This window comes from Homo sapiens, chromosome 6, assembly GCF_000001405.40.
Source record: "Homo sapiens chromosome 6, GRCh38.p14 Primary Assembly".
Lineage (NCBI taxonomy): Eukaryota > Metazoa > Chordata > Mammalia > Primates > Hominidae > Homo > Homo sapiens.
This window is the reverse complement of record NC_000006.12, coordinates 35,595,685-35,612,037: the sequence shown is the minus strand read 5'-3', so window position 1 is coordinate 35,612,037 and position 16,353 is coordinate 35,595,685. Positions and strand designations below refer to the sequence as shown.

The window sequence follows — 16,353 nt, the reverse complement described above, 5'->3', positions numbered from 1 at the left end:
TAGAGACCTAAAATTGTCTCTAATAACAGTCTTCAAATTAATGATATATCTTAATAGTAATCTTATCTAAATCACATTTCTCAAGGTTCCGGGGAAAGAATAACATTATGGACTCAAAAAGGTTTTTACTGAATTGTAAACTTTTACTTCCTTTTCATAATTTGTCTCTGTGTGGAAGAGAAAACTTAGGTTAGTTTGATGGGATTTATTCTTTCTCAAGGAAATTTTGATTTTTACTCTTTATATGAGGATCCTAATGGTTACAAATCAGTTTTTAGAATCTGTCCCCCTACGCTTTTTCTTGTGTCAGTTAAGATGACCATCTTGTAATTTTTATTCAAAGTTTTTCTTTCATTTAAAAAGTTACTGTGTTCTAAGGTACTCTAATTGATATGATTATGATGACTGATACTTCAGTCTTTAAGTTTAATTGCAGGTCTTGGCTACATTGCTACTTTTCAGCTTTGCTTTCTTAGAAAATCAAATCTGACTTACATAAGGTTCTAAATAGCTACCAGTTACTCTTCCCCCATCCCCCAGTCTCTCACATCGTCTGATTTGTCAACTTTAGTGGTTGGAAGAGGCCCATCAAAATGCTGGCTGTATGTGGTTCTCTCGCCTCTCAGTACTTTCAGCCACATTTGAATGCAAAGAATGCAGACAGTCAGCAGTATTTTTAAATGTGAAATTTTCAACAGAGTGTTCTACAGGTTCCAGTTGTTGGCGTACCTCCTTTCCCTCTCCAAATCTCACTGAAATGATAGATGGAGGGAACAAAGATTTTCAAAAGAAGAAGAAGAGATCAATAATAGTGCTGGAAAGGAGAGGAATGTAAGAGTGGATCAGAAATTATGGAGAATTTCTGGAATATGTAAAGTTGATGAAGTTGAACCAATGGAAACTAGTCTCAGCAAATCCAACCCGAGACAGGTGTAAAGAGGACTTAAGCAGAGGTACACACTGTTCTTCTCAACAGGCTTAGGCGGAACTCCAAGCTCATGGTCATCTGGTGTGAGGGAGCCCAAGCAGGCTATGCAGCAATCATCAGGGTTGTTATAAAACAAGATGGAACAGCGGGGCCAGTAAACCTCCAGTGCAGTAGTTCTCAACTTTTCCTGAATTTAGAATTACCTAGGGAGCTTTTAAAAATTCTGACACCCAGACCAGTTAAATAAGAATCTCACATCTCAGAAGATGGAACTCCAGGCACAAGTATTTTTTTTTAAACTCCCAGATTATTCTAGTTTGCAGGCAAGGACTGAAAACTACTAGACTACGGTCTGACTGTGACTTTTTCTCCCAAGCTAAAACCAGTAAGGCCAGGTTCTAAAATAAAATAGAAAAATAATAAAATAAATTTAAAAATAAATAATAAAACAAAATGTGCCTCAAAAGACTCCAAGTGTTAGGACTTCGACTAGGGAAAATGAATGTATTTTTTGAAACTTTTTTTTTTTTTTTTTTTTTTTTGAGACGGAGTCTTGCTCTGTCACTCAGGCTATAGTGCAGTGGCGCGGTCTTGGCTCACTGCAAGCTCCGCCTCTCGGGTTCACGCCATTCTCCTGCCTCAGCCTCCTGAGTAGCTGGGACTACAGGCACCTGCCACCACGCCCAGCTGATTTTTTTTGTATTTTTAGTAGAGACGGGGTTTCACCGTGTTAGCCAGGATGGTCTCGATCTCCTGACCTCGTGATCCACCTGCCTCAGCCTCCCAAAGTGCTGAGATTATAGGTGTGAACCACCACGCCCGGCCTTTTTTGAACTTTTAAAACAAATTTAAAGGGGAAAAAAGTGTAAAGACAGCTTTTCACAGTAAATAATACTAAAGTGTTCTGCTCCTAAAGTCAACTTTCCTGTGCCCATCATGCCCAGCTCATAGTAAATGCTTAATAAATATTTGTGAAATCTTCACCCTTAGATCCCCGCAATCAGCCCATCCTTTTGCAGAAAGGCCTGCCATGGAAACATATCCAACTGCTTAGAAAAATGGTGCCAGCTAACTATAGTCATTTGATCATCCAGAATCCTTCCTTTATAATACGGCCAGACAGCAAAGAATCATCAGCAAATATCACGAAAAAAGCAGCACTAAAATGGACTAACAGAAGAAGTAGAAGAGAACCTTAAAAATACTAATTATTGTCTTCAGAAATTGTTAACAGGACATCAGATTCATAAGTCAAAAAGCCAACTTCCCTGAAAAAGGAAAGGGAGGACAAGAAAGTTTCTGGAAGTTAGAGCATGATTAATCAAAACTGAAACTCAGAGGAAGGGTTGAAGAGCAAAATGGACAGTCCCTGAAATCAGGTGATCTGAAAGATAGCCAAGGATTTCTCAGAACACAAGAAAAAAGAGGGATGAAAAGTGAAAAAGAAATTAGAAGATATGGATAATAAATCCAGGAGAGGTAATATGCATCCAATCAAACATCTAATAGAAAATTTCCTACAGGGAATAAAAGAAAAAGATTCTTAAGATCGAAAGGGCCAGTTGATAGTGGTACCCAGGAGGAAGGAGTGGTTTTTCACCCAGATATATCCTGGTGAAATTTCTGAATTCTGCAGCTTACAAGAAAATTCTGAACTCTTCCAGGGAAGAACAAGCTATGTACAAAGGAATAAGAATCTTATTCATTACACTAAAGACAATGCTTTTGATCATTGTCTATAGCTATGTGTATTTTGAACCTAGAATTCCGTACTCAGCCCAACTGTCATTTATGTATGAGAACAAAATTAACTTTTTGGAATTTGCAGACTCATATTCTTTTCGAAAAAAATACTGTGGGATGTACCAAAACAAAAAAATAAGTCAAGAAGCAACAACTCAAGGCATAAGAAACAGTAGCGAGAAAAAAAAAATAATTTCCATATTGGATACATTTATCCTGAAAGATCTCTGAAGCAGTAGAGCTGTAATGTTAGAAGTAATATTAATAATGAAACAGTCTGGCCTGGGCACAGTGGCCCACACCTGTAATCCCTACACTTTGGGAGGGCGTCACTTGAGGCCAGGAGTTCAAGACCAGCCTGGCCAACATGGCAAAACCCCATCTCTAGTAAAAATACAAGATTTAGCCAGGCATGATGGCACATGCCTATAATCCCAGCTACTCAAGAGGCTGAGGCAGGAGAATCACTTGAACCCAGGAGACAGAGGTGGCAGTGAGCCAAGATTGTACCACTGCCTAGGTGACAGAGGGAGACTCTGTGTCAAAATAATAATAATAATAATAAAACAATAATAACAGTCTGGATTCTGGGTTATTTTAACAAAAGGTGGTGAGGATAGGAAATGAAGAGGGGAAGGCAAAATTGTCTAAGATTATTTTCTTTTTTAAAACATTTTTTGGAGATGAGGTCTTGCTCTGTTGCCCAGGCTGGCATGCAGTGGCACAGTTGTGGCTCACTGCAGCCTCAAATTCCTGCCCTCAAGCCATCCTCCCACCTCAGCCACCGGAGTAGCTGGAACTGCAGGTGCACACCCAGCTAACTTTTTTTATCCTTTTAGAGACGGGGTCTTGCTATATTGCTCAAGCTGGTCTTGAACTCCAGGGCATAAGCGATCAGCCTGCTTCAGCCTCCCAAGTAGTTGAGATTACAGGCTCGTGTACTACCACAACCAGCTGCCTTAATTTCTTGTTCCAGGGGAGATTATGCTGATTAATTCTTTTATTTTAAGATTCAGGGGGGACATGTGCCAGTTTGGTACATGGATATATTGTCTGTAATGCCGAGGTTTGGGCTTCTATTGAACCCATCATCCAGATAGTGAACATAGAATATAGCCCTTGTACCCCTCCATCCTTTTTTGCTTTTGGAGTCCCCAGTGTCTCTTGTCCTCATCTTTATGTCTGTGTATACTCAGGGTTTAGCTCCTACTTATAAGTGAGAACACGCAGTATTTGGTTTTCTGTTTCTGTGTTAATTCACTTAGGTTACTGGCCTCCAGCTGCATCTGTGTTGCTGTAGGGGACATCCTTTCATTCTTTTTTATGGCTGCATAGTATTTCATGGTATATATGTACCACATTTTCTTTTTTTTTTTTTATTTCAAGTCTGTCAAGCTATTCTTTATTTCGGAGAGAGGGCAGGGCAGAGTGCTCAGTCCTTGGCAGCGGCTTTTGTCATGGTGGCCAGGACATTGCTCAGCTCCTCCTGCTTCCTCTTGGTGCATCCCCACCCTTGTCTTGATGAACTTGAGGGCCCATTTGTCCTTGGAGACCTTCAGTAACTCCATGGTGCACCGCTCGTATGGGGTGAAGCCACACAGCTCTCAGATCATGTCCGGCACGAACTTGGTATATTTGGTCAGGTGCCTGCAGCAGCGGCTGTGCCTGGGCGTCCTCATGTTCTCGGTCACCTTGTGGCCCTTGTTGAGGCCCATGGCCATAGGGCAGCACAGAGCCATGGCCGCTGCTCTCCAATGGTGGCCGTGGCAGAAGGAAGCCCACATTTTTATCCAATCCACCATTGATGGACACCTAGGTTGACTCCGTGTCTTTGCTATTAAGAATATAACTGTGCTTAAGAGTAAGTGCTGTGTGTGGCTCATGCCTGTAATCCCAGCACTTTGGGAGGCCAAGGTGGGATGGTCACTTGAGCCCAGGAGTTTAAGACCAAACTGGGCAACATAGTAAGACCCCATTTCTACAGAAAAAAAAAAAAGGCCAAGCATGGTGGTGCATGCCTGTAGTGCCGGCTACTCAGGAGGCTGTAGTGGGAGGATCATTTGAGTCACATTTATACCACTGCAGTCTAACCTGGGCAACAAAGCGAGACCCTGTCTCAAAACAAAACAGGCTGGGCGTGGTGGCACATGCCTGTAATCCTAGCACTTTGGGAGGCTGAGGTGGGTGGATCATTTGAGGTCAGGAGTTCAAGACCAGCCTGGCCAACATGGTGAAACCCTGCCTCTACTAAAAATACAAAAATTAGCTGGGTGTGGTGGTGGGCGCCTGTAGTCCCAGCTACTTGGGAGGCTGAGGCAGAATTGCTTGAACCTGGGAGGTGGAGGTTGTAGTCAGCTGAGATTCTGCCACTGCAGTCCAGCCTGGGCAACAGAGTGAGACTCTGTCTCAAAAAACAAACAAACACACAAACAATGCTGCAGTAAACATGTCAGTGTAAATGCCAGCTATCTTTCTGATAGAACGATTTATTTTCCTTTGGTTGTATACCCAGTAATGGGATTGCTGGGTCAAATGGTACTTTGATTTTTAGTTCTTCGAGAAATTTCCAAAACTGCTTTCCACAGGAGCTGAACTAATTTCCATTCTCATCAACACTGTTTAAGCATTCCCTTTTCTCCACAACCTTGCCAACATCTGTTCTTTTTTGACTTTTTTTTTTTTTTTTTTTTTTTTTTTTTTTTTTTTTGAGACGGAGTCTCATTCTGTTGCCCAGGCTGGAGTGCAGTGGCGCGATCTTGGCTCACTGCAACTCCCGCCTCCCAGGTTCACGCCATTCTCCTGCCTCAGCCTCCCGAGTAGCTGGGACTACAGGCGCCCACCACCACGCCCGGCTAATTTTTTAAAATATTTTTAGTGGAGACGGGGTTTCACCGTGTTAGACAGGATGGTCTCGATCTCCTGACCTCATGATCTGCCTGCCTCGGCCTCCCAAAGTGCTGGGATTAAAGGCATGAGTCACAGCGCCCGGCCTTGACTTTTTATTAATAGTCATTCTGACTCAGTTGTGAGATGGTATCTCATTGTGGTTTTGATTTGCATTTCTCTGATGATTAGTGATGTTCGGCATTTTTTCATGTTCGTTGGCTGCTTCTTCGTGTCCTTTGCCTACTTTTTAATGGGGCTATTTGCTTTTTTCTTGTTGATTTGTTTAAGTTCTTTTCTGGATATTAGTCCTTTGTCAGATGCATAATTTGCAAATGTTTTCTCCCATTCTGTAGTTTGTCCATCTGCTTCGTTGATAGCTTATTTTGCTGTGCTGAAGCTCTTTAATTAGGTCCCAACTGTCAGTTTTTCTTTTTGTTGCATTTGATTTTGGGGACTTAATCATAAATTATTTGCCTAGGCAATGTCCAGAAGAGTATTTTCTAGCTTTTCTTCTAGGATTTATATAGTTTCAGGCCTTACATTTAAGCCTTTAATCCATCTTGAGTTTGTTTTTGTATATGGTGAGAGGTAGACGTCTGGTTTCCTATTTGGATGCCTTTTATTTCTTTCTCTTGCCTGATTGCTCAGGCTAGGACTTGCCGCATACTGATTGCTGTGGCTCAGTACCATGCTGAATAGGAGTTGTTAAGAGTGGACACCCTGTTTTTTTCCAGTTCTTAGGCGGAATGCTTCCAACTTTTGCCCGTTCAGTATGATATTGACGGCTGGGTGCAGTGGTTCACACCTGTAATCCCAAGACTTTGGAAGGCCGAGGCAGGAGGATTGCATGAGCCTAGGAGTTCAAGACCAGCCTGGGCAGCATAGTGAAACCTTGTCTCTACTAAAAATAAAAAAAATTAGCCACACATAGTGGCATGCACCTGTAGTCCCAGCTTACTTGGGAGGCTGATGCAGGAGGATCACTTGAGCCTGGGTGATACAGGCTTCGGTGAGTTATGGTTGCACCACTGCACTCCAGCCTGGGCAATGGAATAAGACCTTGTCTCAAAAAAAAAAAAAAAAAAAAAAAAAAAAAAGATATTGTCATAGGTGGCTCTTATTATTTTGAAGTATGTTCCTTTGATGCTTAGTTTATTGAGGGTTTTTTATAATGAAGGGATGTTGGATTTTATTGAATGCTTTATGCTGATTGATTCTGAACATTGATAAAGAGGTATATATATATATCTTTAAATGATTTGTTCAGACTTTAATGGAAAGTACTAGTAAGAATAGCATGTAGAATTTCCAAATCACCCCATGTGGAGTGGGGAAATAGAGGAACAAGGAAAACTTCATCAATTGAGCAAAAATTGTTTTAAAAAATAAGAAAACACGGGCCGGGCACGGTGGCTCACGCCTGTAATCCCAGCACTTTGGGAGGCCGAGGCACGTGGATCACGAGGTCAGGAATCGAGACCATCCTGGCTAACATGGTGAAACCCCATCTCTACTAAAAATACAAAAAATTAGCTGGGCATGGTGGCGGGCGCCTGTAGTCCCAGCTACTTGGGAGGCAGGAGAATGGCGTGAACCCGGGAGGTGGAGGTTGTAGTGAGCCGAGATCACACCACTGCACTCCAGCCTGGGCAACAGAGCGAGACTCCATCTCAAAAAAAAAAAGAAAACACTGTGTAGAAAACCAAAGACAAGAATAAAACCACTCATATCAGTGATTACAAAAAATATGAATGGGATAAAGTCACCTATTAAAGGCAAAAGGTCTCATAAAGTGAGAACAACAACAGTATCTAGCTATGTGTTCTTTATAAATGAAACACTAAAATCAAAAAGGTACCAAAAATTGAAAATAGAGGAAAGATTACGTCTGCCCATATTGAGATCTGATGGAGCTGTGAGACTTTACATTTTTGTTTTTCATATGCTTTTGAAGTATTTATGAATGTCCTGGGATATAAGTCTAGGAATAGGAGCAAATTCTTGAAACCATTTTATTATATGTTTTCACAAAATAATGTAATATGGTACTTGGTCTAAAGTGGCCAGTGTTTATTCTTTCAAATATTTTGGATTTATATAATTTCTTTCTTCCAAAAAGTTATCTTCAAGTCTTCAGGTAGAATAAAATCATAGTAGAAAATAAGTCTTTCTGGCCAGCCATGGTGGCTCACGCTTGTAATCCCAACACTTCGGGAAGCCAAGGTGGGAGGGTTGCTTGAGGCCAGGAGTACAAGACCAGCCTGGCAACATGGTGAGACCCCATTCTTAACAACAACAACAACAAAATAGCCAGGCGTGGTGGTGTGTGCCTGTAGTCCCAGCTACTAGGGAGGCTGAGGAAGGAGAGTAGCTTGAGTCCAGGAGTGTGAGGCTGCAGTGAGCCATGATCACACCACTGCACTCCAGGCTGGGCAACAAAGTGAGACCCCCAACTCAAAACAAAAACAATAAAGAGGCCGGGCACGGTGGCTCACACCTGTAATCCCAGCACTCTGGGAGGCCAAGGCTGGAGGATCACTTGAGGTCGGGAGTTCAAGACCAGCCTGGCCAACATGGCGAAACCCCATCTCTACTAAAAACACAAAAATTAGCTGGGCATGGTGGTGCGGGCCTGTAGTCCCAGCTACTTGGGAGTCTGAGGCACAAGAAGTCCTTGAACTCGGGAGGCAGATGGTTGCAGTAAGTGAAGGTTGTAGTGAGGCAAGATCACGCCACTACACTCCAGCCTGGGCAACAGAACGAGACTCTGTCTCAAAAAAAGAAAGAAAACAGTCTTTTGTTGCTGCTGCTGCTGTTGTTGTTGTTACAAAAAAAAAAAAAATTCCAGCCAATTGGCCATTTATTTTAGAATAGTATTAAAAAACAAAGTTTCCATATCAATATAAAATTTGTATAGCTTCCTAGAATTTATTAAAATAGGAATACTAATAGATTCAAAAAGGAAAATTTGTATAAATTAGTGAAAATTACCACCCTGTCCTTAATGCCCTATTTTAAGATTAGTCATTAAATAAATATTTACTTGCTGGCCCTGAACTCTGTGCTGGGTACTGTGAGGCACAAAAGAAGTACAAGATACTGCCTTTGCCTACTAAGAATTTTATTCATACTTTGACAGCTTTCTGTGTTGAACCAGTAAATGTTTTCTTACACAGAGCTCTAAAACATGTTTAATCTGGTATAATTTACCACTAGGCACAGGAAAATAATTATAGCTAACATTCCTTTAGTTTGTCTCTGTATATCCACACTTAACAACAGCATTTTCACATGATAGACACCCTGACATATGAATGAATGAATGAATGAATATCAGGTGCTAGATTAAAAGCTCTAATTCAGTATCTAATTTAATCCTCTCAACAATTATCATTTAGCTAGTGTATTATCCACATTCTATCAGTGAAGAAACTGAGCTTCAGATCACTTTAATTACCTTGCCCAAAGTCATAATTGAAGTGGCAGAATGGGACTGGAATCCAGGTCTAACTCAAGTGCTATAGTGGTGTGAAGGGAAGACTGGTAAGGGTTGGTGTTCATGGAGAATTTGTTGCTGGGTGTATACTTCTTGTTTAGATTTCCTGTTTTGAAAACATTCAAACTTGATCAACCAAAAGAAATCATTTGCATAAATGTTATTCAGTTCCAGGAGCCAGGTTCCACGCCTGTTAGCATCTGTCCGTCAGTTCTGTAAGCAATCTTACAGTGGTGTGTGTTCATCCTAAGTAGTACAAAACAGTGCAGAGGAGGAAGGCGGACAGCTTAGGGGAAATCTGACCACCATGCGTGTTGGAAGTATTTCTCTTGTTCTCCTGCTTTTAGAAAGCCATCTCTGCTTGCTTTTTCAGGGGGTTATTAAGATCCTACTCTCTTGGATACTGTGCTCTATTAGGCAGGAGACACAGGCAGAAAGAAGCTCACTTGGCATGAATTAGGCAACAGAGAAAACTCTTGCTCAGTGGGAGTAACCTGTCACAACCTGGTTTTCTCTGGCCAGATAACCAGTCTTGTCGAGTAGTAATGCCATTACAACATTCCCATTCAGATCCTCATGACCCAGTAATTGTTTTGAGAATGAGTGCAAAGCTATCAGACACCAACTACTATAATTAGAAAAGGGAAAAATAGACACTTACCAGAGCTAATGTCTTTAGGCTGGAGCATTTACAGCTTTTTGTTTTTTGTTTTTTAAGTTATGGAGCCTCTTTCTCAGTTTTGCTTCCTAAAATACAAATTGCATGGTTTAGGGGTTCTTGCATTTCATTTTTGTTACTGCTGTGCACTCTCTTTCCTTTTTTCCCCCCTATTTTAATCGGAGTACAAATTGCTGTCAGCACATCGAGTTCATGTGCCAGCCACATTCAGAACAGGGTGTTCTGTGCTCTTCAAAACAAAATTGCTCTAGGGCAGTAAGAGAACAATAAGTCAGAGCTCCAGTTTAAGTGATGTTTTGCAGCTCGCTTGATGTGGTTACACTCCGATTGCGCAGCTAAGCTTGGGTAATTTGGTTTGGTTTGACTTTGTGGGGATTTGGAGGACCTCCCTCCCCCTTTAAGTTACATAGTCTTTAAGTCAAGAAAAAAATGTTGTCTCTTTTTAACTTGTTTATTTCTTTCTCTACCAAAAAAGCCCTAAGTAGAAGCATCCTGTATGTACTTTTATTCTCTTTGGGCATGTCATAGATGATTTACTTCCCGTAAATCATGCTGGTTGGGATTAGCAACAGACCTCCTGAGCCCTACAGGCTGCACTCCCAGTGAGTCACGATGGTTATTATTAAATATTTATTAAGTTAGTATTTGCACTAAAAGATGCCAGGTCAAAAAGCAACCACAGGGCTTCCACAGCCAGAGCTGCCATGGTTTTTGTTCTGTTTTGTTTTGGTAGGAATTTTTAAGATAACATTAAAAAGAATAAGTGGAGCTATAGGAGCTAGGCTCATCTGCATCTGTTACTGCAATCAGGGCCCCTACTGTGGCAATCAGCAGTCTTTCCGTGGCTCCAAGTGGTGTGTGAGTTCTTGTCAGCAGTCTCGTAGAACTTTTCACATCAGTGTTCCAAGTTTAGAAACCAGTTAACCCAGCAATGCCCTTTGCTACTTGTAGATGTAGAGAATCAATGGGCTGTATTCACCATGAGGCTGTGATACCTCCTTTTACTCTGACATTCCGAATGTTGTCAGTATTACAAGGCGATGGTTTTGGTTTTTTATATAAACTGGGGTGTATATGTCTGGATGTATATCCGTTTAAGATTTTATAGTACTGCAGGGTCCAATTGTGAAGGGTTAGATTTACCAGGAAAAAAAAGATTAGTCCACATGTAAAGTAGAAAATATTTATAAGAGCTATCACAAATGTTTACTGTCCTATTACAGCATCAGACACTAGTTCTGTCATTTATTGTCTCTCTGAGAAGACTAGCTACAATGAATGTTTTGCTTTCTTAATTATGCCTTTGTTACAGTTTGACTTTTTTTTGGCATGGTTACTTCATTTATCTTTCCCAACATGTTTATTAGTAGCCAATCTTTTTCCCTCACTAATGATGGGTTATCACATCTAAAGAGAACTTCTGAAATTACTCATTTAATTTTAATATCAAGTACATACATCAAGCTGAAAAACAGCCTAGGAAACTAACGCACAGGCAGGAATCCTTGCAGAGTCTCTGGATTTCCTGTTTTGAAAACATTCAAACTTGATCAACCAAAAGCCACAACAAATGTACTGATAATTTCCTCCCCCACTAAATGTACTCTCCTTAAGGGAGGAAGATGATACTTCCAACAATAAACTTCAGACAAAAAAAATCTGTTAACTAAGTTGTGAGCTACTAGGACAATAAATCTCTATACTTGAGACATTCCACAATACATGAGAAATTTACTTTGCTCAGCAAATCTTTTTTTTTTTTATGAAAAGTGTTATTAGTCTAAATTTCTTGGGCAGAGTTTTAAATATTTAGAAATGCAAACTTTTTAGAACTCTTAACCTCCTTAGAAATATCAATTTTTACTCCAGTAAAAATATCTTTTTTTTTTTGAGACGGTCTCACTCTGTCACCCAGGCTAGATTACAGTGCCGCAATAACAACTCACTGCAGCCTGGAACTCCTAGGTTCAAGCAATCCTCCCACCTCAGCCTCTCGAGTAGCTGGGACTTATAGGTGTGCGTCACCACCCTCAGCGAATTCAGTAAAAATATCTTAAGCCTCAGACTCCCTGTAGAACCTCTCTAGTATGCATGTACAGTCATATGCTGCATAACATTTTGTTTAACAGCAGATTGCACATAGGACAGTGGTCCCGTGAGATTATAATTCCATATCTTTACCTTCTCAATGTTTAGATACACAAGTACTTACCATTGTGTTACAGTTGCCTACAATATTCAGTACAATAACATGCTATACAGATTTATAGCCTAGGAGCAATATGCTATACCACTTAGCCGAGGTTATAGTAGGCTGTTCCATCTAGATTTGTGTAAGAACATTCTAAGATGTTCCCACAGTGATGAGAATACCTGATGACACATCTCTCAGAATGTATCCCCATCCTTAAGTGAAGCGTGACTGTATTTGAAAAAGTTTAAATTTGAATTTATTTTTTAAATGTTTTCCAATTCAGAATGAACTTTCAATTTGCTACAAGTTAATTTTATCTAGAGCATTCTAAAAGTAAGTCTAACAGAAGGAATTATCAGCATTTATGAGTGTGGGACATAAACTAAAATGCCATATGCGAGCTCTACCAAGCCACTCCAACTCTAGCCCTTGTTTGGAGGAGCTGACTCAAGAGTTAGGCCCTTTCTAGTTTGGCCCAAGTTTCTTAGACCCCATTCTGTGTCTGCAAGGGGAACACATCAAGATGGTATTAATACTGGTGAGTTAAAAAAGAGTAGTGAGTACTCACTTCGGCAGCACATATACTAAAATTGGAACAATACAGAGAAGATTTAGCAAATCGAAAAAAGAGAAGAAAAGGGTAGAACGCTTTAGAGCATAAATGTCCAGGGGACATTTCGGCCCCTAGTGTCTACACCATTTCTGTTCATTCTTCAGTTTTTCTCATTTCTCAGGCCTGGGCTAGGGGTAATTCAATTAAATTATTAACTGCAGGAATTAGATTTGAAGCTGGTTTCTGGACTATATTGATATTGAGAGTGATATTACCAGGTCATAGAATCATAGAATTTTAGAGCTTCATTGAGATCATGTAGTTCAAAAGTAGAATAAGTTAGATTTGAATTTTTATTTGGAAGGTAATAGTTGTTTTATTGGGCATGGAATGAGTATAACAGAACGAGTGATTTTTAGTCTCTCTACAAGTTGTTGATCTAAAGTAAAGTAGATCAGCCAGTGTTAGAAAAGAAGCATTTTAGGAAATCTCTAGATTTGAATATAGGCTATTATGTTACAGAAGTAGGAATAAAGGATTTTCTTTCTTTTTTATTTTTATTTATTTATTTTTTTATTTATTTTGAGATGGAGTCTCCCTCTGTTGCCCAGGCTGGAGGCTGGAGTGCAGTAGCGCAATCTCAGTTCACTGCAACCTCCGCCTCCCAGGCTCAAGTGATTCTTGTGCCTCAGCCCAAGTAGCTGGGATTACAGGCACGTGCCACCACACCTGGCTATTTTTTGTATTTTTAGTAAAGATGGGGTTTTGCCATGTTGGCCAGGCTAGTCTCAAACTCCTGACCTCAGGTGATCCACCCGCCTCGGCCTCCCAAAGTGTGGGATTACAGGCGTGAGCACCGCGCCCAGTCAGGATTTTCTTATGAAATCCAAATTATCATATTGCTTGGTGACTGTTATGCTGTCATACCAGCCATCCATTTTTCTTATTACATCAAAAACTTAAAATAGAATACCCTTAATATTAAAAGTAGTTGTAAAGTTTCAGAGAATTGTTTTTCCTAGAAATAAAGAGTCTAGGCCAGACCTGGTGGCGCATACCTGTAATCCCAGCGCTTTGGGAGGCTGAGGCGGGTGGATCACCTGAGGTCAGGAGTTCGAGACCAGCCTGGGCAACATGGTGAAACCCTGTCTCTACTAAAAATAACAAAATTAGCTGGGTGTGGTGGCACACACCTGTAATCCCAGCTACTTCGGAGGCTGAGACAGGAGAATTGTTTGAACCCAGGAAGTGGAGGCTGCAGTGAGCAGATATCACGCCACTGCACTCCAGCCTGGGTGAGACAGAGCAAGACTGCGTCTCAAAAAAGTCTAACTCATCAAGAAAAAATAGATATCTGTATGCATTTTTTCTATTTTGTCTTAAAATATGAGAAAAAGCCTCTTATTTTAATATGAAATTACTCTGGGAAAGAGCTTGGTAAATTGGGGTGGAACGGGGAATTAGGCCTCCCAAAATTGACCTCCTAATATTTCAGGGGAGGTTATTAAGTAATTTGATTTGTGAAGTTATAGTAGACTATTGATTCTTTCACACTTTACATTTATTATTTCCAGTAAGGGATATAGCTAAGATAGTTATTGATGTTGTTGTCTTTGGATTTACCATTTTTATTCAGATATATTTGTGAATGAGATTAGGACTCTTAAAGAAGAAGGAGCATCTGTATTCATTTAATCTTTGTATATCATTGGAGAAATAGCCATTTAGTTGGCTTTTTGGCCCAAGCATCTGAAGCCAAGATGCAGTTACAGATGTTTATATATTTGATATTAAATTTGTGGCATTTGATAACTTTATTAAATAATTCAGCATCTCTTGACTTTGTATTATAGGTGAGGAAACTTCTGTCACATAGTAGGCTTAGAATAAACCTGTGTTTCTGGTTTGTTACCCACTAAACTGTCTTATTGATACAAATATCAGTAATTACAAGTTTAATTTAGAAATATGGTTGCTCCTAAACTTTCAGACTGGGTAGACTAAGCTTCACCAAGACACACTGTGTGTGTCTCTTGATGAAATGAGAAAGGGGAAATGGTATTTGCTACATTGTCGACCACTCATTTATCACTTCACTGAATTAGCCAGTCCTAAGAAGCAGCTCTGTTGACTCTCCTGTCTCCTTGCCCTCAGTCCACCTGGAAGGCCGCTGTGGTGGAAGGATGTTTGACTGCAGAGATGTGGCATTCACTGTGGGCGAAGGAGAAGACCACGACATTCCAATTGGAATTGACAAAGCTCTGGAGAAAATGCAGCGGGAAGAACAATGTATTTTATATCTTGGACCAAGGTAAGCAGCATACCAGTTTGGAACACAGTGAAGTCACCTAAAGGACAGGGATATGCTTGCTTTTTCATTCAGTGTTTTGGCATTTTCAGTGAAGTTAATCCAACAACGGAAACAATTAAATCAGGCTGCAGTTAGTCATCACGTAAATTAATGGGCCTTACAATATCATAGAGGTTTGTGAGCATGTTTACTTGATTGATATATGTTCAGAACAGGTCTTACAGCCACTTTTTGCTTTTGTGATGATTTGTTTTGCCTGCAGTATTGCCAAGACAGGCAGCTATGGACCCCTCTCATATGTGGTTCTCTTACCCCCTCTTCCCTTTTCTCTAAGTTAGGCAGGAGGCAGGAAAACATGGGGGTTGGGAGTCAAAGAAGCATTTGGATGATTTACTACCACTTGAACTTGTGCCACTTGTTCTTATACAGAGTCCCTGAAAAAAAAAGCACATTCTTCCTGGATCTAAAGGCAACAGAGATGACTCATTTTTTGTCTAAGTTTTTCCCATCATAAGGATATCCATTAGCACTTTCAAGCTTAGAACCATCAGACACTGACAGTCTCTCTTGTGAAAACATGTTTAGTAGTATTTTTAGATCTAAAATTATACCATGAATCCAACTCTTCTGTCTTGAGAAACAGACCCCTGAGAGAACCCGGGGTGTTTTGATTTTGTCTGCATGAGAGTGCATCTGCTTATCTAGTGTATCCTCCCTCCGGCTCCATGGATTTCAGACAGTGGGATTCTGAGTTACTGAGAATCTTGATGACCTGCACTTGCCAGTAGGTGATGTTAAGCCTTTTGTGGTGTCATTTTATAGACTCTGTAGTAATCCAATGGCAGTTTACCTTTGCCCCAGCACTTGATCCATAATCATATATATATATATTTTGAGATGGAGTCTTGCTCTGCCACCCAGGCTAGAGTGCAGTGGCATGATCTTGGCTCACTGCAACCTCTACCTCTGGGTTCAAGCAATTTTCCTGCCTCAGCCTCCCGAGTAGCTGGCATTACAGGCACCCGCCACCATGCCTGTCTAATTTTTGTATTTCTAGTAGAGACGAGGTTTCACCATTTTGGCCAGGCTGGTCTCAAACGCCTGACTTCAAGTGATCCTCCCGCCTCAGCCTCCCAAAGTGCTGGGATTACAGGTGTGAGCCACCACGCCCAGCCCATAATCATATTTTTGAGGTGATCTAGCCATGCAACTACCACTTGAAAATCCTTCCAAAGTGCTCTACCTTGAACTCTTCATAGCCGTCACTGAGGCACCCTTTGTATAATGGCTTCTTTTTCTCTACCTGGTTCCTCTTTCCACTAACTATAGCCCCCACTTCAATGTGTCTTATTTATATTAATATTTACTCTATATTTGTAGTTTATTCTTAGGTGAAACTAATTCTGTTTCTAGGAGATACTCCTTAAAATTCAGATAGAGCATAGAAAAAGCTATCTCTTCCATATCCAAATAATCTCTAATTACTTTTTTTTTTTTGGTAACAGGATCTCACTCTGTCGCCCAGGCTAGAGTGCAGTGGCACAGTCACGCTCACTGTAGCCT

At 40.6% G+C, this 16,353-nt stretch overlaps 1 protein-coding gene and 1 pseudogene across 4 annotated transcripts in view, besides 2 other annotated features; one reads left to right on the top strand and one right to left on the bottom strand.

Moving 5' to 3' along the window:
• Positions 1–16,353, top strand: part of FKBP5 (FKBP prolyl isomerase 5) — a 154,994-nt gene that overhangs the window by 116,546 nt on the left and 22,095 nt on the right. For all 4 annotated transcript variants that reach the window (NM_001145775.3, NM_004117.4, NM_001145776.2 and 1 more), the window contains one exon: positions 14,634–14,790. In NM_001145775.3, the coding sequence (NP_001139247.1) occupies positions 14,634–14,790 (157 nt within the window). The remainder of the gene's footprint in view (positions 1–14,633; positions 14,791–16,353) is intronic.
• RPL36P9 (ribosomal protein L36 pseudogene 9) lies at positions 4,058–4,445 on the bottom strand (annotated as a pseudogene).
• Positions 9,372–9,666: a silencer, noted in NCBI's record as "tiled region #13603; HepG2 Repressive non-DNase unmatched - State 5:Enh". NCBI's record gives its function as "represses a minimal TATA promoter and a strong SV40 promoter by Sharpr-MPRA in HepG2 cells {active_cell/tissue: HepG2}" and the evidence as "EXISTENCE:reporter gene assay evidence [ECO:0000049][PMID:27701403]".
• Positions 10,341–10,846: an enhancer, noted in NCBI's record as "OCT4-NANOG hESC enhancer chr6:35568969-35569474 (GRCh37/hg19 assembly coordinates)". NCBI's record gives its function as "activates a minimal SCP1, AML or CMV promoter by ChIP-STARR-seq in primed H9 embryonic stem cells {active_cell/tissue: H9 hESC(primed)}" and the evidence as "EXISTENCE:reporter gene assay evidence [ECO:0000049][PMID:30033119]".